The following is a 23553-nucleotide window of genomic DNA, read 5'->3' as shown; positions in this document are numbered from 1 at the left end:
TTAGATGGGGTGGGGGGGTGGTAGACACACACACACACACACACACATACATGAGCATTACATGAGGTGCTGTATGACAAACATAGAAAATGCTCCATAAATTATTTATAGGTATTACTCTCTTATTGTCTTTCTTGTAAGACGGTTAAAGGGCATTTGTTATAACTACCAGTTAGGACCCCTACTAATAATGTTCCCTAAAGCAATAAAGGGTCCTTCCATAACTGAGATCTGATGGCATTTAAGGAAAATGAGCATAACTGCCATACACAGTGCTCCTGAGCACAGCTGCTGGTGGAAGCTGTCATGTGGGGAACAACCTTGACGCAATTTAGAACACACAGGGAGAAGCGAGGGGACGGAAGAGGGGTAGGTGACACAGGACAGGGGTGGGACAGAGATGGGGTAGGTGATATAGGTAGGATAGGGTGGGGTCAGAGATGCAGTAGGGGACACAGGACAGAGGGTGGGGATGGGGATGGAGTAGGGGACACAGGACAGAGGGTGGGGACGGGGATGGGGTAGGGGACACGGTACAGAGGGTGGGGACGGGGATGGGGTAGGGGACACGGTACAGAGGGTGGGGACGGGGATGGGGTAGGGGACACGGTACAGAGGGTGGGGACGGGGATGGGGTAGGGGACACGGTACAGAGGGTGGGGATGGGGATGGGGTAGGGGACACGGTACAGAGGGTGGGGACGGAGATGTGGTAGCTGGAAAGCATCCGTGTGTCCTGTCTTGCTCTGCAGCATCCGCCTTCCCCACTAATGTGTGAGGAGAAGGACCTGACTTGAAGCACTTGCATGGGGGCCACGGATGGGAGGTGCCCTGGGCCAAGACATACGCCCCGTCGTGTTGGAGAGACACAGGGATGGTTCTGCCCTGCCACGTCTGGGCTCACTAGTGAGTGTGTTGAACAGCCTTGGATTCAGAGGACCAGCATTGGGTCACCAGTGGGGAAGCGAATTTTGAGGGAATATCAGGTTCCTCTGGGTAACTGGTCCCGTGCATACAAATGTATCGTGGTATCGAGCACCTTTTCCATGTCGAATGTATCGTGAGTCTTTGCTGCCCAGCTGCCTTGGGTCCATGTGGTGCTTCATGAATACTAGGTGTCTTAGAGCTCGTATCTCCTCCTCTGTTTGATATACACCTGCTCTACTTCCTATTTATCTCTACTTGACATATCCTATGAGATTCACCCATTGCGTTTGTTGTTTTTTTCTTCAAAATTGAATGTTCCCAAACAATTTGACAAATGCCCCTTATTGAAGACACTAAACTCGTCCCTGAGAATGGGTTTTGAGATTGGGCATAGTTTTGTGAAGCCATCATCCCATCCAGATGGGGGAGCCTGCCGTGCCTGGGGCATTCTGGGACCAGGTGTGGGTCTGTAGAGGTTCGCGAAGCTTTGCTTACACTCACTTCAGGTCCACAGACACTGAACTGTGTGCTCAGGGATGGTTTCTTCCCCTGGCTCCTCAGGACAGAGACATGACCAGAGAGGCGGCTCCCCCGTCCCACTGTAGATGCTGCTTGGAGTCTGAGGCATACTGGGCTGCTCTCTGGGCTCTTGGTCTGATTACAACTCTGCGACTACACACAAGGTCTGCACCAGACAGGTAAGGGAGTAGGTGCGGTGGGCACAGGGGCCACACCAGGTCCAAGGGCATCGGCCCAGACCGTGGCTCTCGGGTTCTCTCCCTTCTGTGCAGGCGGCATGGGAAATACCGCAAGCACTCTGAAGCCCCATCTCCACTCTTTGCCTGCTTTCTAACCTGGGTTTAACACCTCCCTCCTGGCTCCGGAGTTTCTATGATCTTGCTTTAATACCTTAATTATTGACCTTTGTTCCCTAAGGAGGGGTATTAAGAACTTTTTTGTGGATCTTTTCTGCATGGAAGATTTGTGACTTTGAATCTGCAGCACTAGCTTGGCCAGTGGAGGTGAGGAGGGAGAAGAAATGGGGTGTTTTCAGGGGTCAGACCCACTCCCTTGAAGGTCTGAGTCAAATGGCCACACCTCTCCATGGGGCTGGGTGATTCGGTCTCTGAGCTGTGATCATTTCTACGGGAACCGAATTCCATGTAGTTTTGGATGGTTGCTGGGTGTCAGCTACAAGCTCCATTGGAAATCACATTCTGAAATTATCATGTGTTAGTGCTTCCAGTATGCTCTCTGGTTGAAAATGGCATTTTTATAGACAAATACAAGCATTTTGAAGGTTTGAGTCACTTGCTTTGTGAGGCTTGGCCAGTGTTATCTTGTTTTCTTCACAGCCTTTGTGAGCCAAAACAGGTCTTTGAGTTGAGGTGTGCTGGTGCGAGGGGCTTCTCTGGTACCACATTCTAGAACAGAAATGACTGAATGAATTTTGTGGGCCTGCGTCAGCCTCTCGAGTAGCTGGACCCTCGGTAGGGGAGGAAGCCCTATAGACCAGACATGGCCAGGCCAGCCAGCAGGGAGGGCCCAGCAATTAGCACGAAGAAGTCTGGTCAGCTGTCTGGGGCTCTGAACAGACTAGAGATTTCCCTCACCTCAGTCAGGCTGCTCTTTGGCCACAGTGTTACGTGGCTTGAGGCTGGGTGCTGCAGTAACTGTCTGTACCATCAAGCCTGGGGGCGGAACAGGAGCGGATCTCTTACAACATTTGGGGCAGAGCCTTCCGAACTTCTGTCTGTGCTATACTGACTATACATACATACGTATATGCGCTAACATACATATTTACCCCAAAGAGGTAATGTCTGTATTGTTTTGTGAGCTGTCTTATTTTTTTTTATTTTTATTTATTTATTTATTTTTTTGAGAGTCTTGCTTTGTCTCCCAGGCTGGAATGCAGTGGCGCCATTTCTGATCACTGCAACCTCCACCTCCTGGGTTCAAGAGATTCTTCTGTGTCAGCCTCTCGAGTAGCTGGGATTACAGGCACGCACCACCATGACTGGCTAATTTTTTTTGGTATTTTTAGCAGAGACAGGGTTTCACCGTGTTGGCCAGGCTGGTCTTGAACTCCTGACCTCAAGTGATCCACCTGCCTCAGCCTCTCAAAGTGCTGGGATTACAGGCATGAGCCACTGCACCTGGCCATGAGCTACCTTTTCAAAATGAATGGTACAAGTTGAGCCTCTTTTCCACACTACTAGATTATTAGATATTCTTCGTTTGCATCCATTTTCAGGGCTGCAAGAAATTCCATTGTAGGGATAGGTTCCAGTCCACGAGCCTTCTCTGGGATGGATGTTTAATTAAGTGATTTTCAACCATTTGCCAGTTAGTTAACATGACAATAGACATCCTTGTCCATTTGTCATTTAAAATTGTGATGTTTTGTGCATCATGAGTTTTTGTATTTTTTGCGCTTTTGTCTGATCAGTGCCTTTGCGTACCGTCTCCTAAGTAGATTTCCTGTGTATATACCAGACTCCTTCTTTGATATGTCCTGCCTGAAATAATTTTTTCACACCAAGTTTTTTTTTTTTTTTTCCCCAAGAGATGAGTCTTTACCAAGATTTCCTGAATCTTGGTTGGCAGCATCTGTGTTACTCAGAATTCACTCTCATTCGCTGAGGCAGAAGAGGATTTAGTGCAGGGAATTCAGGACCCACAGAATTGTTGCAAGCTTGGGCCTTGGCCGCATGCTCAGGAACCACCGCAGAGTGACGCTGCAGAGCTGGCCCGCCGGTAACTGCTGCCTCCAGCGTGGCCAGGGAGTCATTGGTGGCTCCAGGCCACACACCTCCCACCGTCCACCCGCACCAGGGAGGGTCCCACCTGCTGCTCTGCATTAGTGGAGCCGTGGAGGAAGCTCTGTGACCTCCACCTCCGTCCACAGGGGAAACCAGATACGTCCATAGTGGGGCCTCTTGACGTGAGCCCTGAAGCCTCCCTCCCTGCTGTCTCCTGGAAGTCAGATTGGACACTTCCCAGCCTGACTTTCAGAGCAGGTGGAGAAATGAGGGGAAGCCACACACAAATAGTTCCTGCAGATTTACCTTGCATACAAGCCAAGTACTTAGAAACGAATCCCTGGAGACCCGCCCTAGCTGAGAGGGTGGGTGGGTTGCGAGGGGCTGTCTGGTGAGTCTATCTGGACATTGGAGAATCTTCGCTCTCTCTGCCCCTTTCCTGGCCGTGTTGAGTCAATACCGAGCAACCCTTCGCTGCAGGCGTGGGAAGGAGGCAGGAATTAACCCACTGCTAAGTTAATAGCCAATGTTTTTTCATGAGTCATAATTGATTCGCATTCGGTTTATGAACAACATTTCTCTTTGCCTCTTCAAACAGGCCTTTGTGCATACTTACTGTGAATTCAGGTGTCTGTAGAGTTCCAAGCTGCCCCTCTGAGTGGATCATTGTATTTTCGGTGTTCAGCGAGAACATTGCTGAGGAAGGGTTCCAGGAGACACATTGTCTTTAGCAACCCCAAGTGCAGCTGTGGGCCTGTGAGGGTTGGAGACCATGGGGGCAGCTGCTTGCTTCATGGTGCACGCTCTTGGGAGCCAGCAGTAAATGTCACCCCTTCAGAGATGGACTGTTCAAAATGGCCTGATGCTCCCCACCCTGCAAGCTCCCAAGAGGATGGTGGGAGGGGATAGAAAGAAGGCGCCCAGCCCCCTCTCAGTTGAGGTGGAGTGGACAGCCTTCCCCATTCTAATCCTGGGAGGGTACAGTGGCTTATGCTTCTAGCCCATCCAGGAATTAGGCCTGTCTGGGGAACCCATATTTTCTTTAAAAAGAGAAAATCATACTGATTTCACATGTACCAAATGAGTCACCTTAGGTTTCTATGGCACCTTCCCTTTGTGAATTAAAAATAGGATATGATTTATATGTAACAGCTGGTTTTCTTCAATTTTGAGGGGTAAGTGTTGATTGTGCATTATGAAGTAAATTGTAATAATTATTTTACCAGCTACAGCGGTTTTTCTTTCAATTCTTCTAATCATATAAAATGAGATCTTAAAAATTGTAAAAAAATACAGTTATTTTTTGTAGCATATAAATACTGGATAATCCAGGCTGCCTAATGCATAACCTCTCCCTCCTGCCCACCCCATATTGTGATTTAAAATAATTAATAAAGTGTGTGTGTGTGTATGCATGTGTGTGCGCGCGCATGTGTGTGTTTAGAAGAGAAGTCCATTCCAGCTCAGAGATTTGATGCTGTATTCCACCTGTCGAGCATTGCTCCCCACCTTTTGGGTAACTTCACCTTTTTCATCTTATTTAATCCTTGTAGTCACCCTGTGTATTTTATAAGTAAGAAGACCCAGGCTTAGCAAAGTGAAGTCACTTTGGCAGGATTGCATAGCTGGTGAGTGAGAGCTGTGAGCCCACCTTTATCCCGCTTCCCTCACGAGGCGCACTCCCCGTGTATGCAGCGTTTGTTCCTCTGGGTGAACCCTGATGCCTTTGCCCCTCTGCCTGTGCGTGCTGTGTGGTTGTCGGTTTCAGTACTGTTGTGGCTATTCAGCTGACACACAGGGGCTGCCATGATTGCTTCACCTCTCACTGTTTTTATCCCCACTTTACAGAAGAGCAAACTGAGGCACAGACAAGTTATGCAGGGATTTGAACCCAGGGTCCTTTCCTTGTCACCTTGTTTTTAACCTGTCTCAAGCCGAGAACTTGGAAACAGTGTCAGGAAGTGTCCTGGTAACCCACCCAGGGTTTCACTTAATGCAGGTGAACACTCTTGGGCAAGTTCCTCCCCCCAAGTGTGCACAGGGCCTGGGGCTGAGCCTAGGCAAGGGAGGGGCCCTTCATTCCCTGGTCAGCTCCTTCCTCCTCCTTGAAGTCCCACCTAGGACTGGACCCTGGCTGGAGTCCAGCCAAGAGCCCCTTCCTTCCCTCCTCCTTCCCTCTTGCCTCTCCCCAGCCCCTACTGGCAGCAGCTTCCACAGGAGAGAAGGGGAAGGAAAGGGACAGGCTGAGAGCTGGGTCGTCCTGGACCGCACCCTGGTGGGGCCCCGTGCTATTTAGGTGGCCTCAGGTGCAGCCTTGGGGTGACCTTCCTCCTCTGCACTCTGCGAGGTTGTGGCACCTGCCTCCTAGGGCTGTAGGGAGAAGGAAAGGCAAGCATTTGTGTGGAAATGGCAGATATGTTGTAACTGATGTCCAAGAAAGTTGGAAACAACATTTTTATTATAATGAGACCTCATTCAGCACCCCCTTTTTGGGGGGCTAAGGTATTCCTGGTTAAAATGGAATAAGACCTGCTGGGTGGAGGTGCTGGACAGGGCCCCTAGGTCATGGGAGGTGGAGGAGTAGGAGGAAGGAGGTGGGCCATGCCTGGGGGTGCCATGCCCTGGGGGGGCCCCTTAGGGGAGGCATGTTTTGTGGGGCATACCTTGCTGGGCCCAGCGTGAGCACATAATTAGCCCTGGCTGTTAAGTCCTTCTTCACCTTCTGAAGGAGTAAAGGTCAACTGGCTCCTGTCTGTGAGAATAAAAGCTGAGCAGAGGGAGATGGGAATGTCTCTGAGTTTGGCTGAGCATGAGCTGTATTCCATGCACTGTTAGGTACTTAAGGGATATATTATAGCCTCATGTATTACCCCACTAATTAAAAGCAGAAATGATTATCTTTGTTTTGAGGTGAAGAAACTGAAGTTCAGGGAGGTGAAAGTGGCTTGCTTGTCCCCAGCCCAGGAGACCAAGGTGGGGCAGAGAGGGAGGTGGTCGCTGAAGCCCCTGACAGGGTGGGCTGGGATCCCGAGCTGGCAGCTCCAGCCCAGGGTCTGCCAGGAGGATCCTGACTTGCACTTGGTCAGTGGTCACGTGGTACCAGAGTGGCTGCATCTGAGTCTTCTGGCTCCTGGGGTGAACCTGAGTGAACTGCTTGCCATGTGCCAGCATAATTAACTGAAGGAGCAGAGACTTCCCAAACATCATCTGTTCTTGTTTCTCCCCAATTCCTAAATAAACACTTCTGTTGTAATAGCATGTTAATACTACAACAGTTCTTTGCTCTTCTGATGGACACATGGTCTTTTGTACAAACTTGTGGCTTAAGCTCTTCACTGTCAACTAAAGTGGAATTCCCATCAAATTCCCTCCAAGGATCAATATCCAGGATGGCCTGCCATGGTGTTTGCTTTTGTAAAGGCTGGAAATTCTGCCCTAAAGCCAGAGTTCCCAGTTTTTCTGAGTATGAAGTTCCCTTTGCAATATTGAACAATTTGAGAAACCTTTCATATGACAGTAACTATGTTTTCACAATTCATCAGTAGGAAAAATGCATATCAGCAAAAAGACAGACACTGTGAATTTTGAGACTTGTCTAGGTGTCATATTTTATTAATCACCTCAACATCTGACACATATTGAGAAATAATGGCCTGTATACATATGTGACCTAGTATTGATTTCATTTCTAGATAGTGCATGTACATCAGGGATTCACATATAAAGAAATAAGGATCTGTGTTTGGATAATTAATATTTGTAGCCTCTCAAAGAAGTGGGTATGACAGGCTCTCCTTTTGCAATTTGCTTTTTCTTCCTGGGTACTTTGCTTGCAATTTGAGTAGGTTCCATTAGGGGGTGTCCTGGGACCACAGCGCTTCTGCAATTGATGAGGCTTTCACTCCAGCTACAAGACAAAGTACCATTTTCCCCATGAATTTTTAAAAATAATATGAATTAGCAGAATATAGCCTAAAAGAGGTAACCAAACATGATCACAATTTTCTTTTTCTTTTTTTTTTTTTTTTGAGACAGTGTCTCACTCTGTCACCCAGGCTGGAGTGCAGTGTCATGATCTCGGCTCACTGCAACTTTCGCCTCCTGGGTTCAAGTGATTCTCCTGCCTCAGCCTCCCAAGTAGCTGGGACTACAGGCGCACACTGCCACACCTGGCTAATTTTTTTGTATTTTAGTAGAGACGAGATTTCACTGTGTTGCCCAGGCTGGTCTCGAACTGCTGAGCTCAGGCAATCTGCCCACCTCGGCCTCCCAAAGTGCTAGGATTACAGGCATAAGCCACCGCTCCTGGCCTATAAATTTAAAAGATGTAGTAGGCTCAGATAACTAAACTCTCTTAGTGAATTGCTGCTCAGTTTTATTGAATTCTATATTTCATTTCTTTTTAGCTTCCAGGCATTAAAAGTAACCCTAAGCATCGGCTAGCCTGGTAGAGCTTTCAGCATTAGAAATATACAAGTTGTTTTGTCTGCTCAGGGATCATGAGACATCCCAGGCCCCTCTATCCTCCCTGGCCCCTCACAAGAAGCTCTCGGACCCTTGCAGGCATGTCCTTCCCTCCGTGGCCCTGTTTTGCAGGGGACCTTGGCCTAGGCTCCCCTGTGAGGGAGAGCTAGGTGTCAAGCTAATTGGAGCTGCATGGCATCATAGGCAGCTTGTGCTTGAGCTGGTCTTCCCTGGGGAGTATTCTGGGCATCCTGCGCTGCTCATGGCAGGTCCAGGCCAGCTGGCCCACTGGGCACAGGGGGCACAGTGCCAAGAGCCCATTGTAGTTTGAGAGGCTTGTGAAAGTGTTTTAATTTCTTTTCTTTCTTTTTTCTTTTTCTTTTTTTTTTTTTTTTTGAGACGGAGTCTTGCTCTGTTGCCAGGTTGGGGTGCAGTAGCGGGATCTCGGATCACTGCAACCTCTGCCTCCTGGGTTCAAGCGATTCCCCTGCCTCAGCCTCCTGAGTAGCTGGGACTACAGGCGTGCACCACCATGCCCGGTGCATGGGTGTATTTTGTATTTTAGTAGAGACGGGGCTTCACCATGTTGGTCAGGCTGGTCTCGAACTCTTGACCTCATGATCCACCTGCCTCAGCCTCCCAAAGTGCTGGGATCACAGGCGTGAGCCACCGTGCCCGGCTATTTTAATTTCTTTAGTTGGAAGATAAACACTGAGCTGTGATGCCTTCTTCAAAAAGAAAAGAAAAGAAAGAAATCAAAAAAGAAGAAAAACACGAACTTTAGGTCAAATAAAATGTTTTAATATATACTATTAATATATTCACCTTTGTACTGACACAATCGGAAAATATGCTTTTGTAATTGTTTTTTTAAGTGGAGCAAGGGGCATAGGAGGGTGAGTGTGCATGGGGTCCGAGAAAGTAATAATGTTGCCCTGGGTGGGAGTGGGACTCAGGGTCTCCATGACCTGGGGCAGAGTCACAGAGGCAGGAATGACTCCTTACAGGAGGGGCTGGCCGGTGGCTTGGCGTAGCTGTGCACGGGTGCAGGAGGAGCTGCAGGAGCACAGAGAGACCCCACCTCAGACAGAGGCTGTTCTGTGAGTCAAGCAGCCCTGGCTTCTGAGCACGTCTCAGGATCAAGTGCTCAGGGGCCTCAGCCTTAGGGATTACCAAGAGATGGATATGTGGGAATTTCAGGAACTTTGGAGTTTTAGCTAAGCTAGGAAAGGATGGATTTCTCAAATGTAGGGGAGTGGGGTTGGTCCTAGGCCCAGCCTGGTCACTCGGGGATGAGACTTACATTTTTGACTGTGTATCTTTATCTGTAAATGGGGGCAAGAATTCACCCACGTTCACTGAGGGAACACCATAATACATGTCAAGAGCCTTCCGAGCCCAAGGCCTGCCTCTGGGCACTGCCCAGTGTTGGTTTCCTCCTTTGCCTGTCTGCATTGTATTATTCAAGGAAGGCCAGGGAGATGGAGGTGCGCTCACCTGGGACGCAGATTGGCCCAGTATCGGCACCACTTGTGGCTGCCCTGCCGCGCCCTGCCAGACTGACTCAGGAGGGCTGGGTGGGACCTTCTGGGGCTTAACAAGCTTTGCAGGTGAATCTGCTCTGTGACTGGGGCTGAGAACTTAGCCTTTGCCTGAGCACGTCTGGGCCATAGTCAGGCAGACTTGATTTCCAAGACGGGGCTCCCACCTTCCCAAGGGAGAGAGGATCGGCTCCTCTCTTGTTGGAAAGGTTCTGGGACCTTGTTGAGAAGGTTCTGGGAGTGCAGGCTGAGCAGGGCTGGCATGCACCCTCATCCACTCTGCAGAAGCATAAATGCTTCTTTGTCCTCAGCCTCATGTCTTCCTGGAGTACTTCTTTTTGGCTCAGGGAGTGAGCAGGGAGGAACAGGTTCTCCACTCCTGAGGTTTCTTTGATCCAGTTTGTCAACACGCATTTGCTGCAGCTGTGGGCACAGCACTGGATATGAGGCAGGATGACTTATGGTGGGGTGTGCTTTCACACTTGACAGGGGACACAGACACGTGGGTGATTCTTATCACAAAGTAGATTAAAATAAGTGCTACTGTGCAAGATGGACTTCCAGTGGGGATTCATGAATTTGGGTTGGGGAGGTAGCGTTGGAGTGGATCTAGAGGAGTGAGACCCGTTTCCACAGGCAGGGAAGTATGGGGAGGCTTTTCCAGCTGGGAGAGGGGTCCGGTGTGCATAAGTGTGCTGTGTCTGATGGGACTGGACGGGTGCTGGAGGGCTGGAGGGGACAGAGGAGTTTCAAAGTAAGCTGCAGCCAGACTGGGGAGGTCCTGTGTCCCGCAGGAAAGTGCTGGCACCCCTTGGTGGTGACAGCCCTGGGTGCCTGTGGGATGACCGCTCAGTGAAGGCTTTGGAACCAGCTGTGCCCCATTTGTGAAAGCTGCAGAGACAGTGCCTACACATGCGAAGTATGCACAGTGTAGTCCTCTGCCTGCAAGAAGGTCAGTAGATGTGACAGGTGGGCAGTTCTACTCATGATAGAATCAAAGATGGAATACCCAGGAACCATACTCATGGGAAGTGTGTACAATCCGGATAATGAAATTGTACCAGGGACACAAAAGAGCCATTGTACAGGTAGAGATGTTCAGCGTGTTCCAGCAGTGGGGGATCAATATCTTACATATTTCGGTTGTTTCCAAATTAACTTATGGATTTAATGCAACCCCTAGCCAGAATCTGGGTGGATAACTTACCAGATATTAAAACATATTAAAAAACGTATTGTAGGCCAGGCACAGTGGCTCACACCTGTAGTCCCAACAATTTGGGAGGCTGAGGCAGGAGGATCGCTTGAGGCCAGGAGTTCAAGACGAACCTGAGCAACAGAGAGAGACCCCATCTCTACAAAACCTTTTAAAAATTAGCCAGATGTGGTGGTGCATACCTGCAGTCCCAACTACTCAGAAGGCTGATGTGGGAAGATTGCTTAAGGCCAGGACTTCAAGGCTGCAGTGAGCTGTGATCACACCACTGCACTCCAGCCTGGGCAACAGAGTGAGACCCTGTTTCAGAAAAATTTGTAAATTCATAATAATTTAAACAGTTTGGTATTGTGATGGAAATAGACAACATGCCCATGGAACAGACTAGAAAGACTGGAATATAAAAGTTAATATATCTGGTTACTATTTAACCACTTGGGAAACCATCAAGCCCCTTGCTCATATCAAACCCCCAAATATATTCCATGTGGATTAAAATTTAAATATAAAAATGAAATCATTGAAGTGCTAAAAATAATTTAGGTAAGTAAGTAGTTAAGGGATGAAAAACATCTTTCTACACATGATACCAGAGACAGAAAAAAAGTCTGCAACATAAATGACTAATGTATTATATAAACAACTTTAATAATGAATATGAACAACTCATTGTGAATGAACTTCTTAATGAGATAGTGGGTGAGAGATATGAATTAGTTTGCAAAAGGAAAAAATTGTCCTGAAATTAATAAGGAACCTAAAAAGAATCCGAAGAGCCAAGGCAGTCTTAAGCAAAAAGAACAAAGCCAGAGACATCACATTACCTGAGTTCAAACTATACTAAAAGGCTAAAGTAACCAAAACAGCATGGCACTGGTATAAAAATGGACACCCCTTTCAATAAATGGTGCTGAGAAAATTGGATTGCCATATGGAGAAGAATGAAACTGGAACCCCTATCTATCACCATATACAAAATCAACTCAAAATGGATTAAAGACTCAAATGTAAGACCTGAAACTGTAAAAACACTAGAAGAAAACCTAGGGGAAACTCTTCTGATCATTGATCTAGGCAAAGAATTCATGTCTAAGACCTCAAAAGTACATCCAACAAAAACAAAAATAGACAAATGAGACTTAAATGAAAAAGCTTCTGCACAGCAAAAGAAGCAATCAACAGAGAGAACAGACAACCTGCAGAATGGAAGAAAATATTTACAAACTATGTATCCAATAGGGGACTAATATCCAGAATTTACCAGGAACTTAACAACTCAACAAACCCACACAAAATCCCATTAAAACATGGGCAAAGGACATGAATAGACATTTTTTCAAAAGAAGACACACGAATGATCAACAAGCATATGAAAAAATGCTCAACATCACTAATCATTAGAGAAATGCAAATTAAAAGCACAATGAGATATCATCTTATAGCAGAAAGGATGGCTATTATAAAAAGACAAAAAAATAACAGTTGGCATGGATGAGGAGAAAAGGGAACTCTTTTTTTTTTTTTTTTTTTTTTTTTTTGGTAGACAACATCTTGCTCTGTCGCCCAGGCTGGAGTGCAATGGCGTGATCTCGTCTCACTGCAACATCCACCTCCCAGGTTCAAACAATTCTCAGCCTGGGCCTCAGCCTCCCAAGAAGCCGGGATTACAGACATGTACCACCATGTCTGGCTAATTTTTGTATTTTTAGTAGAGTCAGGGTTTTGTCATGTTGGCCAGGCTGGTCTCGAACTCCTGAACTCAAGCGATCCACCCGCATTGGCCTCCCAAAGTGCTAGGATTACAGGTCTGAGCCACTGCACCCAGCCACTTCTACACTGTTGGTGGGAAAGTAAATTAGTACAAGCTGTATGGAAAACAGTGTGGAGATTTCTCAAAGAACTGAAAATAGAACTACCATCCAATTCAGTAATCCTACTGCTGGGTATCTACCCTAAGGAAAAGGAATCATTATTTTAAAAAGATACCTGCACTTTTATGTTCATCACAGCACAGTTCACAATAGCAAAGATATGGAATCAACCTAAGTGTCCATTAATGGATGATTGGACAAAGAAAATGTGATATATATACACAGTGGAATACTATTCAGCCATAAAAAGGATGAAAGCATATCTTTTCCAGCAACATGAATGGAACTGGAGGCCATTATCTTAAGTGAAATAACTTAGAAAGACAAAATACCCCATGTTCTCACTTATAAATGAGAGCGAAATAATGCGTATACATGGACATAGAGCGTGGAATGATAGACATTGACAACTGGGAAGGATTAATGGGTGAGAGATGAGCAACTACCTACTGGGTACAATGTTTGGGTGATGGTTACACTAAAAGCCCAGACTTCACTACACAATATATCCATGTAACAAAATTGTGCTTGTACCCTTTAAATGTATACACATTTTTAAAAAGGAATTTGCTCGTAAAAGGAGAAATAAATGTCAGTAAGTGTGAGAAAGTCAATCTTACATTAATCAAGTAGGTGCCTATTAAAGTAAGATACTATTTTTTGCTATTAAATTGACAAATTTGTGGTGTGCTTTGCTTTTGTTTGTTTGTTTTTGTGAACGATGGTACTCAATGCATGTGAAAGTGTTTGGCAAGGACTCTCATATGCCTTGGGAGAGGAAGCTGCAAGCTTTCTGCCAAGCAGTTTGGCAGGATGTCTCAAACCCTTTAAAAGAATTCCTCCCTTTATCCTGGGGATTCCATTTCTAGGAATTTATCCCAAGGAAACAATTAAATCTGCAGTCCAAAATTCCTATGCAAGGATGTTCATCACAATGTTACATATAAAGGTGCAGATTTGGAAGGAATTTGAACATCCAATGATGGGGAATGAGTCATTCGTCTGCCGGAGTGCAGTGAGGCCCTTAGGAACATTTCTAAAGGATGCTTAGTCACAAGGGAATGAGGGAACTTCATGATCTAAGGCTAAATGAAGAAGGCAGGAAGGATAGTGGGCCGAGCCGGAGGGAGAAGAAGGCCCATGGGGAAGAGGCAGGGGCCAGTGCCAAGATAGGAGACAGAAGGTGCAGGATGTGTTGGAGGGCAGGCTCAGCTTCATTTCATTCAGATTCCCTTTAGTAAATTCTGATTGAGCAGATACTGGGTGCAAAGTACTGTCATTTAGGCTCAGTTTAGCAAAGGAGATGGTTTGGGTGAAGTATACCGAAGGACAGGTGCTGACCCCGGGTAGGCTCTTGCTCAGGGCAACAGGCAGCTGCTCTGCCCTGTGTCCATGCCCCCACTCAGGGACTCGCTCCTCTCCTGGCCTCTCACCCCTTCTCTGGGGAGCTGCTGTCTTCACCTCCTCTTCCCAGGGTGCATAGAACTTTTAAAATTAAAAAGAAGAAAAAAAATTCAGGATAATAAAACTTTTTAAAAAGAGAGGTTGTATCCTACATTAAAAAAAATGATATTTATGTGTGGGAGTAGGGAAAAGACTGGAAGGAAACATATAAAAATGAGATTTCTGGTTAGCTGTGATAGAATTATGGGAGATTTCATATCTTTCTATATTTTTATAATCAGCATTTTTTAAAAAAAACAGCTTTATTGAGGTATCATTGACATATAATCTGCACACATTTAAAGTGCACAGTTTCATACATCTTGATATATGTATATACCTGTGAAACCAACACCATGATCAAGATAGTGCACGTACCCATCTTCCCCAAAATTCCTCATGCACGTCCATAATCCCTCCCCAGATCCCCTGTAGGGCAACCCCTGGTCCACTCTCTATCCCTATTACTCAGTTCACACTGTTTCCTAGGATTTGGCTTAAATGGAATCGTGCGCTTTTTGGCTTCTTCCAGCCCATGATTATTTTGTGATTCATCCATGTAGTTGTGTGTGTCAGTGGTTTCTTCCTTTCTGTTGCTACGAAGTATTACATTGTGTGGGCATAGTACAGTTTTTCTAATCCAATGAATCACTTGATAATTAGGAAAGTCTCCCCTTTTTGTAAGCATGCCCAGAGATTGGCTAGGGTCCTGGGAGTTTGGATCTGTGCCATCCGTCTGTCTCTGTAAGTTTGGGACAGTTCCTCAGGCCTGGCCCAGTGACCCTGAGGGCAATGGCCCGGCCAGCCCAGTGGGCACCTGGGCTGTCATTCGTCAAACACAAGGCTTGGCCATGCCTTGAAACACTCAAGCTGCCTAGAAAGCATGTCCTCATGGTCAGAGCTTTGATTTGGGTGCCAGGAGGTTTAGTGGTGGTCAGCGGATGTGCTTAGTAATTGCCTTTGTGCCTTGCCTCGGTGGGAGAGTTGGAGAAAGCTTGATGTCTTGTCCGAAGTTGGTGTTGCCTAACTTCCACGTGTCACTCATGCCCTTGCCTACACCTATGTGTGGCTCACAGCTATTTCCCCCACCCCCAGCAGGCAGCCCACCCTCTCTGAAGAGCAGTCCCCTCTTTGCCTGCCCAGTGCAGCCCCTACCATCACTCTGTGGCTCTCGTCCTTCACCTGGCAGAGCTGATGGCTGTCCCTCTGTGATCTAGGTGACTTTCATGAGGTCTCCCTGTCTCTTGGATTAGCACAGACCCAGGCAGCTCCTCCAGGGCTCCACAGCAAGTCATGTTCCACCAGTCCCCGGGCATCCCTGGTCCCTATGGTCCCATGGCCTGCTCCCTGCCCTGTGCCTTGCCCCACTCATCTCTGAGGGTTCCAGGAGGTGCCTCCCACACACTCAGAAAAGAAACTGCTATGATACCTGCTCCGGTCAGCTCCTGGCACTGCCTCCAGGGCTGAAAGGGAGGACTTAGCCTGTGCTGTTCCGTGTAGAAAGGGGCAGGTGGCCAGCACCTCTCCAGCACTCTGTGCCCCCTTGTCTCTGAGCCTGAGTCTCCTCAGGTCTGGCACGTGATGTCCTTTTCTGCCTTCTCTTATCACTCCAAGCATGAGTTGGACCCAGTCCTGTCCTGGTCGACCTTCCTCCCCTCATTATTTCTCTACTTTGAGCAGCCTTTGCCAACCCCCTCAAAACCACTCATACTGGCAGGGACCTGTGACTGTGAACAGAGGCTGGTGCCAAGACCCTGGGTCTTCTAGACCCGGGGACTCTGGACAGCACCTCTTTGCCCACTGGACACCCTCCAACTGCAAACAGCATCTCCTGGGGCTGGGCCCTGCTCTGGGAGCAGCCTTCCCCTTCTTCTCTCTCAGGGGCCTGGAGTCCTGGGATGGTGCTGTCTAACCGGGCACAGGAGGAAGAGAGGCTGGCTGCCCAGGGACTCCCTCTGGAGGAGTGCTAGTGGACCTGTGCCCGGAGCCGCCCAGCCTCAGGCCTCAGTCCATGTCCCCACGTTCAGCAGAGACACTGATGGAGGGGTCTGTTGGCAGGAGAGCCCCAGTTGTGGGGCCAGCGTGAAGCTCCATGAGGTCGCCAGCCGGCTCCCCAGAAGCAGGCGAAGGCTGGTGGGGGGCAGGGGACAGAGCTCCTCTGTGCCCTGCGCAAGCTCCTGTCTTTAAAAAAGTCTCCCTTGAAGAGGATGGAAACTAACAGTAAGCTGTCCTGGCCCATATCCAGCCATGTAATCTTAGAGCCCCCCACCTCAGCGGGGACAGGACTCAACTTCCGTAACCTGATGTCTGGGTGAGGGCTGCAGGCTCTGCTGGAAGCTACTGCAGGGCTCCTCCTCATGCTGTGGGCTCAGGCTTGGGCCCCAACCTTGAGGGGAGGGTGGAGGGAGTGAGGGGGTAGGGTCCAGCCCAGGAAACAGGCCTGTGAGGAGGTGGTGCTCCTTGCTGTGGGGGGCTGGGAGCTGGGCCAGCAGGACCCTGCGAGTTGCTCAAGGGCCCCTTCCCATGTCTGCAATTACAATTACCTCTGAAGTGAAGAGCTTCACCAACACAGTCACCTGGGTCCTTGGGGCTCCTGCCTCCTCCCCCTACCTGGCTCCTGCCTCGGCTTCCTGGCTCCTAGTCATGAGAGGGGCATGGGCAGGCAGCCAGCCTCTTACTGGCCAGATGATGCTGAAAGCCTGCATTGCAGAGGTGATTGCTTAGCCTTTCAACAGGGCACATACAATGCCCATTCTGGGAGGGAGGCAGCCGAGGCTTCCATGCATTCAGGACCTCCCCAGGTCCTAGGGCTGCGCATAAAGCGTAAACCATGGAGTTGGGTCTGAAGCTGGCTTTATATTCTCCCCATCTCATCCTACTGGGTTGCTGCAGGATCACCTGCCCCAGGCCAGGTGCCTTGCCAGGGCTCTCACATAGCTTAGCTGATTGCATCCTGTAAACAACCCTGCAAGAAAAGGATTGCCTGAATCTTCATTCTAACGACTGGGGAGGCTCAGAGCGTGTAGGTCACTTGCACAGCCATGTACATTTGCTAGGGCTTTCTGCTCCCGAAGACCATGCTTTCCGTGACTCCTCAGATGCCCAGACTTGCCTTTGGGTGGGAGGTGTGGTCCTGAGTGACTAAGGGACTCCTGGGTGAGTCCATCGGCTTGGCCCTCTGCCTGCACCCTCCAATCTATCTCCTCCCAGCCAGCCCCGTGGGTCCTTCCCAGTCTGACCACAGTGCTTCTTGTGTCTGAGCCCTTCCCCACACTCCCCACAGGCTCCAGTCTTGTACTCCCTGTTCCCCAAGCACTCCCCTACCACAGGCCTCACACCTGTGTCCTCTCTGCCCAGGGACCTGCCCCGCTGGCTGACTGCCCACGGACCACCCTGAGTAGCTTTGCCAGCTCTCTTCCCTTCCCACCCCCCGACAGAGGTGACCGTTCTCATGTGGCTTCCCTCTAGACAGCACTCCACACACTTCCTTTACAAGTGGGTTACAGACATGCCTGTCTGCCTCCTGCACAGACTGAGGATTCTCAAGGGTGGGGATGGCACCTTAGGTTCTGGCATACTCAGAGGGAGAGCACATAGTAGGTCTTCAGGAAAAGGTTTTCAAATAAGATTGCATTGAACTTCTGGAGGCAAATTATCTCCCTTCTTTTCTGATCAAATGGTTTTTATGTTTGGGAAATGTGGCGGTAGTGTAAGAATTTGCCACATGCTGAAATAGGTCTCAGTGATAAAGAGTAACAGGTTTAATTTTTAATTCCAGGTTTTAACTCCATGATTGTGTGCTATGAGTATATGGCTGCATGTCTCAAGAAATTCACTGGCTTTAAAATGTGGGCTTAGCTACTGCCAGTATGATTTGATGAAAGCGGATAGAGGTCTCAGATCCACCCCCGGATTCCACCGTCAGGCCCAAGGACGGACCCCTGGCCATTGACTGATGCCAAGTGGGTGCCTGGCAGCAGCCTTCCTTCCCATCCCTGCTTCTGGACGCCTCAGCCGTGAGTCAGAGCATGTGCAGCGTGGGCTTGTGCGGGTGGCAGGGAGCCCAGAATTAGCTCAGCTGCGTTTCAGCAAGGCTGCAATGGGGAGGGGGAGGCTGTGCCAGGCGGGGGCTGAGAGTCAGCACCCTCAACCACAGTGGGGGTCGGCTCTCAGGAGCTGTCATAGACCTCAGGGCATTCAGGGAAAGCCTGCTGTGAGCTGAGCACAAGCCCGATCATAGATGAGCAGAGGGTCAAAGGACCAGGCCTTGCAAAGCCGCAGCTGGTGTGACCCCCGCCTGCCGGAGACAAACATGGACCCTGCATGGGTGTGGCCAGGTCATGCCTGGGGATCGAGTGGCAGACAGGTGTGAGCATCACCGAGCTCACTGCTCACAGTCTAGCAGAGACGGCTGGCTCAGTGCCTTCACCTACCCCCAGCACACCCAGGCAGGCAGAGCCAGTACCAGACAATGCATCGCCTCCTGACTGGTGTTCTTTCACTCTTTGCGAACTGCCTTTTTGTTAAAAGGCAGAGAATTGTTAGCACAGGTACTTTAATATATTGCAAAATGTTTTATTTGCCCTTGCGCCTTTCCTGCTCATTCTAAACTCTGGCACAGGTATGCTGCCCAGGACGCCAGTGGTTGTCACACCAGAAAACAGGGGAGCAGCACTTGTCACTCTCTGCTCATTAGGGCAAAATGCAGGGTGGGTTTTGTGCCTCCCAGGGGTGTGGAGGGGTCAGGCACTTGTGTCACCACCAAATGAGTCAGCTAGATGGAACAGTAAAATATTTAATCACAAGCGTGTCAGCATTGTTCTAGAAAAACACATCTCTAGAGGCTGTGGTATGTGGTATGGGCACATCATGTTACCTTTGTGGGTTTCCCGTAGCCATATGCGAAACACACACGGAGCAGAGATTGGTACGTTTGGGGTTTCCGTGGGTTTAATTTTGTGAGCACCGCAGACTGGGAGGAAAACAAAACACCCTCAGGTTCTCGGGGTGGCCCAGCTTGGAGGCTAAGCCAGATGGTTTCTGCCCTGACCTGTCCTTGGTCACCAGCATTCGGGTTCACAAAATCAGGGTGGGCTGGCTGCAGAGCATTGATAAGGGGCCACCCACCAGCTCCTTCAGGTGGGCTTGGGAGCACACTGTCCTTCAGGCGCCTCCCTTCCTGGCACTGGCACCCCTGACTGGGATCTGGTCCTTCTCTTTGATCTTTGGACAACGCGTGTTGGATGACAACTGGGCCTGGCACACGAAGTGGGAAATTCTCAACTGTGAGAGTCTGAGAGCGGGGACCTTGCTGCCCTCAGCCTTGTCCCTGCGGAGCCTGATGTAATCCGTGGCATGTGGAGGCCCCTTGCTAAGTGCTGTGGACTCCGACCCTGTCCACATCCCTCTGCCGGTACCAGCCCCGGAGGCATTGTGCAAAGGGTCTCACACATCTGGAGAAACCCTCCCACTGATGTAGCCTCTGTTCTTTGCAAGGCCCAGTGTGCACCCAGCAGTCTCGCTTGAGCCCCCGTCCACTATGAGGGAGGCAGGGCCAGAATTCATATGCCCCTTTTAAGGACGAGATACTTGAGGCCCAGAAAGCAGAAGAGGGGTGTGCCTGTGACGAGAGCAGGAGCACGGGCGTGGGGGTCTCTCACCTCTCAGTTCGGCACCTCACCCAGGTGCCTGCTGCTCCCCCGATGCTTGGCACTGTCCTACCAGGATGTGCTGCTGACAACTTCTCAGCCTCCCTTTAAAAATAAAGGTGTCTTAGATCTTTCTGATTCTCTGTGCCCAGCAAACTCACTGGAAGCTAAGCCCAGAACAGCCCCTCTTTTACTGAGTGGTAATTCCCTGCAACCTTGAGCTCAACACCTTATTTACATCGCCTCATTTAATCCTCCTGTCACCCGTAAGAGGAGGCACCACATTATTGGCTCCACTTTGCAGAAAAGGAAATGGGCCCTGTCAGGGCAAACCCTGGCCGAGGCCACCAGCAGGTGAATGGAGCTAGGCCTGGTGAACTGCAACCCTGAGCTCTGATGGCAGGTGGGTGTGGAGGGAGGGAACACTCCAACTCCCACTCTCTCGGCTTTGAGGCTCCTCCTTCTTTTGTAGAAACGGTTGTCATTGTGAGCAGAGCAGACTCTGGTTTTGGGGGATCCTCAAAACAGTGGCTGGGAAACAAGGAGCATTATTTATTTATTTATTTATTTATTTATTTATTTATTTATTTATTTTGAGACAGAGTCTTGCTGTGTTGCCCAGGCTGGAGTGTAGTGACGTGATCTTGGCTCACTGCAACCTCCACCTCCCAGGTTCAAGTGATTCTCCTGCTTCAGCCTCCCAAGTAGCTGGGATTACAGGCATGCACCACCATGCCCAGCTAATTTTTTGTATTTTTAGTAGAGACGGGGTTTCACCACGTTGGTCAGGCTGGTCTCGAACTCCTGGCCTCAGGTGATTCACCCGCCTTGGCCTCCCAAAGTGCTGGGATTACAGGTGTGAGCCACCACACCTGGCCTCAAGGAGCTTCTTAGTTTTCAGAGGTGAGACAGTCTCCTCTTCTCAATGGGGAAGTGGGAGGTCCTGCCTGAGGGTGCATCCCAGCTCACAGCCCCCTTGGTAAGAGGTCTCTGAAATCGGCTTCCTGCAGGTAGGAGCAGCTGGAGGAGGAGACAGAGCCATCCTTCCGAGGTGGGAAGTGGTGCCAAGTTATAGGGAAAGTGCGATGTGGGAGAGATGGCGTTACTGACTACTCATGATGTACTAATCCGGAGGGGTGGGAATCGGGGCAAAATGCAGCCATTTCCTGCTTCAGAATTAAGTTTCCCCTTTTTGAAAGCGGCCCAAGCCCCGCTACCCATTCCTTTTGTTGTTGGCTTCCGTAGCTACTCTGCTGGCCCTCTGCCACTCTCACTTATGGGCTTTGTACCTCGAGACAGGCTCTGTGAGTTTACAGGTGGCAGAGGAACAAGATTCTCCTGCCTGTAAGGGAACCAGGGAAAAAGAGCAAAGTGGCCAGGTGGCTTGAGGTGTGCTAACAGATGGAGCGTTTGGTGCCAGGCCCGTTCCCTGGAGAGGCCAGCTGGTCTGGGTGTCAGGTTTCAGTGGGCCTTAGAGCAGGCGGGTCAGCAGCAGAAATGTGCTGGAGGGAGGAAATGCCATTTGCCTGGCCAGTGTTTGCTCGCGTCCTGCAGCCTGACAGCTCAATTTGTTTGCACCCACAGATTTCATGAACAGTGGTTTGACGACGGTTGCTTGGGTCCAGATTACATGGAAACATTTAGAACCTCCCCTGGGATTGCATCCTTATCTCGTAATCATAACTGCTTTCTCAGATTTGTAATAAGGGTTTTCCTGAACCTGCTCACCCCTTCTTATAAGTTACAGCAGTGACATCGCAGTTTTTATGTGTAAACCAGAAGCAAGTTGAACCAAAATAAAGAAAGCAATTTTGTGAACAAATAAGTTCCCCTTGAGAAGCACTGGGAATCAAATGCAAATATCATAAGGGACAGTTAAGAATCTGCTGTTGCTATCTAGGGCTCATGAATCTCCTGATGTGCAGAGAAACCATACATAGCAATCGCTTGACAGCTTTCTGCCAATCTCTTCTGAATTTTCACTGAAGAAACCTCCCCAGAGTCTCAGAGGAAGCAGAGCTGCTGAGATGCTGATTCACTGTGTGAGGCTTAAACTCAGGACGCATTTATACATCCTGTACTCTCAGTGTTTGCATGAAGCTTTTAAACACGGGGCTGGGCAAGACAAGTTTGGGGCAGTGGGCTTTTTCCGTGTGTAGACCTCTGAACCTTTAGGATTATTCTGGCTGTGCAAATTTACTGATACAAATAAATATAGGGACTCTGGCTAGGCTGAGAGAAAACAGATGAGGTATGAATGAAATTTATTTCTGTACAGATGGACTTTTAGTGGAAATTGTGAGGCTCACTCCACTTCCCAAGTGTAGGTCCCAGCCTTCGGTAGACTCTGAATGTCGTTGCACCACTGATGGAGGCAACACCAGAGAGGGGAAGGTCATTGGACTGTAAGCCACCTTGGAAACCCGAGCCTTGGTCTGTTGTCCAGGGCAAGTGGCAGCTTGTACCAGGGAAGGGAGGGGACAGACCTTAATGGAGTTTATCTGCCTGATAGGCATTTGCAGCAATAGAGTGAGTTTGGCTTTGGGTTTTTGTTTGGGCTGATAAAATCTTTCTGTTCACTTCCAAGCTGTTGGGTCGACAGGCTATCCACAGGCTGTGGGATGGGAGAAACTGTGGAGCCATCCAGCTGTGTGGCCAGGAAGGATGGCTAGCCTCTCCCCTGCCAGACTACTCACTGCAGGGACAGGGCAGGCATTTGCCAGGTAAATAACTTTTGCTGGAGGGTTGACATGGAATGGCATGTGCAAGAGAGGCGGTGTGGGACCCATTCCTGTCCCACAGCTGAGATTTTGGAATTGTCTGGAAGAGATGCCCTACCTGAGGGTGACCTCGGAGCTCTCTCTAGGCCACACATTTAGGCTCTTCTGTTCTTGTGGCTTGCCTCCCAGTTGAGACAGCCAGTCCGTCTACTGGTTACAGCTTTGAACATGAAAGGAGCTCCAGGGTACTGGCAGCTCCTGCTACGGAGTGGCTGGGCTGGGCCAGAAAAACCATGAGGTGAGATCCTCCCATTCCAGCTTCAAAACTGCATGTTCTACCTGACGTCGGAGATGAAAACTGGCCTTCTATTCCCATGGGTTTATTGAAGGTACACGTTTTACTCCTGATGCCTTGCAAAATTTGCAGAGATGTTTAACACGTGCAGAAACATTAGGTTTTCTGCTTCAAGAAATACTCCCTCATCACCCTTTTTCATCTGGTCTTAGTGTATGTAGTTCACCTGGCAGTTTCTTCTATGCAGCAACCAGAGTCACCTTTTAAAATGTAATCAGACTTCCAATCCCAGACATGATGGCATAATGAATATCAGACTTACTCTTCTTTCCCAAGCAATTGTGATATTGGACAGAATGCATGAAGGAACTGTTTTCGAGAATGGAACAACACTCAGTGCAGGTCTTTGGTCCAACTGGAAGCATGTGAGTCAAGCCCCACATTCACTCTGGCTTTCTGTCTGGGAGTGCCTTCAAAACCAAGGTACAAGGGAAGCAGAGGCCACCAGAGAGCTGAGCACAAGAAACCGAGATCAGAGTGCAGGCAGCTGGAACTTGCGGGGATGGTAGTGGAGAGGAGGGTTCTGAGCAGAGAAGGGACTTCAGAAGTCTTCAAAGTGATCTTGAGTCTTGGCCAAATGCTAAGCTGCATTTGCACAGGGAAC

At 49.1% G+C, this 23553-nt stretch overlaps 1 protein-coding gene across 5 annotated transcripts in view, besides 3 other annotated features; it reads left to right on the top strand.

The window, feature by feature from the left end:
- Positions 1-23553, top strand: part of CRACDL (CRACD like) — a 142380-nt gene that overhangs the window by 5236 nt on the left and 113591 nt on the right. For 2 of the 5 annotated variants that reach the window (XM_011511094.2, XM_011511093.2), the window contains exon 2: positions 18005-18242. The exons of the other annotated variants lie outside the window; for them this stretch is intronic. The gene's annotated coding sequence lies outside the window, so the exon portion shown is untranslated. The remainder of the gene's footprint in view (positions 1-18004; positions 18243-23553) is intronic. 5 annotated transcript variants of the gene reach the window in all.
- Positions 13570-13864: a silencer, noted in NCBI's record as "tiled region #6151; HepG2 Repressive non-DNase unmatched - State 22:ReprW". NCBI's record gives its function as "represses a minimal TATA promoter and a strong SV40 promoter by Sharpr-MPRA in HepG2 cells {active_cell/tissue: HepG2}" and the evidence as "EXISTENCE:reporter gene assay evidence [ECO:0000049][PMID:27701403]".
- Positions 17833-18416: an enhancer, noted in NCBI's record as "H3K4me1 hESC enhancer chr2:99529037-99529620 (GRCh37/hg19 assembly coordinates)". NCBI's record gives its function as "activates a minimal SCP1, AML or CMV promoter by ChIP-STARR-seq in naive H9 embryonic stem cells {active_cell/tissue: H9 hESC(naive)}" and the evidence as "EXISTENCE:reporter gene assay evidence [ECO:0000049][PMID:30033119]".
- Positions 20831-21330: an enhancer, noted in NCBI's record as "H3K4me1 hESC enhancer chr2:99526123-99526622 (GRCh37/hg19 assembly coordinates)". NCBI's record gives its function as "activates a minimal SCP1, AML or CMV promoter by ChIP-STARR-seq in naive H9 embryonic stem cells {active_cell/tissue: H9 hESC(naive)}" and the evidence as "EXISTENCE:reporter gene assay evidence [ECO:0000049][PMID:30033119]".

Source organism: Homo sapiens, chromosome 2 (assembly GCF_000001405.40).
Source record: "Homo sapiens chromosome 2, GRCh38.p14 Primary Assembly".
Classification (NCBI taxonomy): Eukaryota; Metazoa; Chordata; class Mammalia; order Primates; family Hominidae; genus Homo; species Homo sapiens.
Note: the sequence above shows the minus strand (reverse complement) of the source record. Positions and strands in the feature narration are given on the sequence as shown.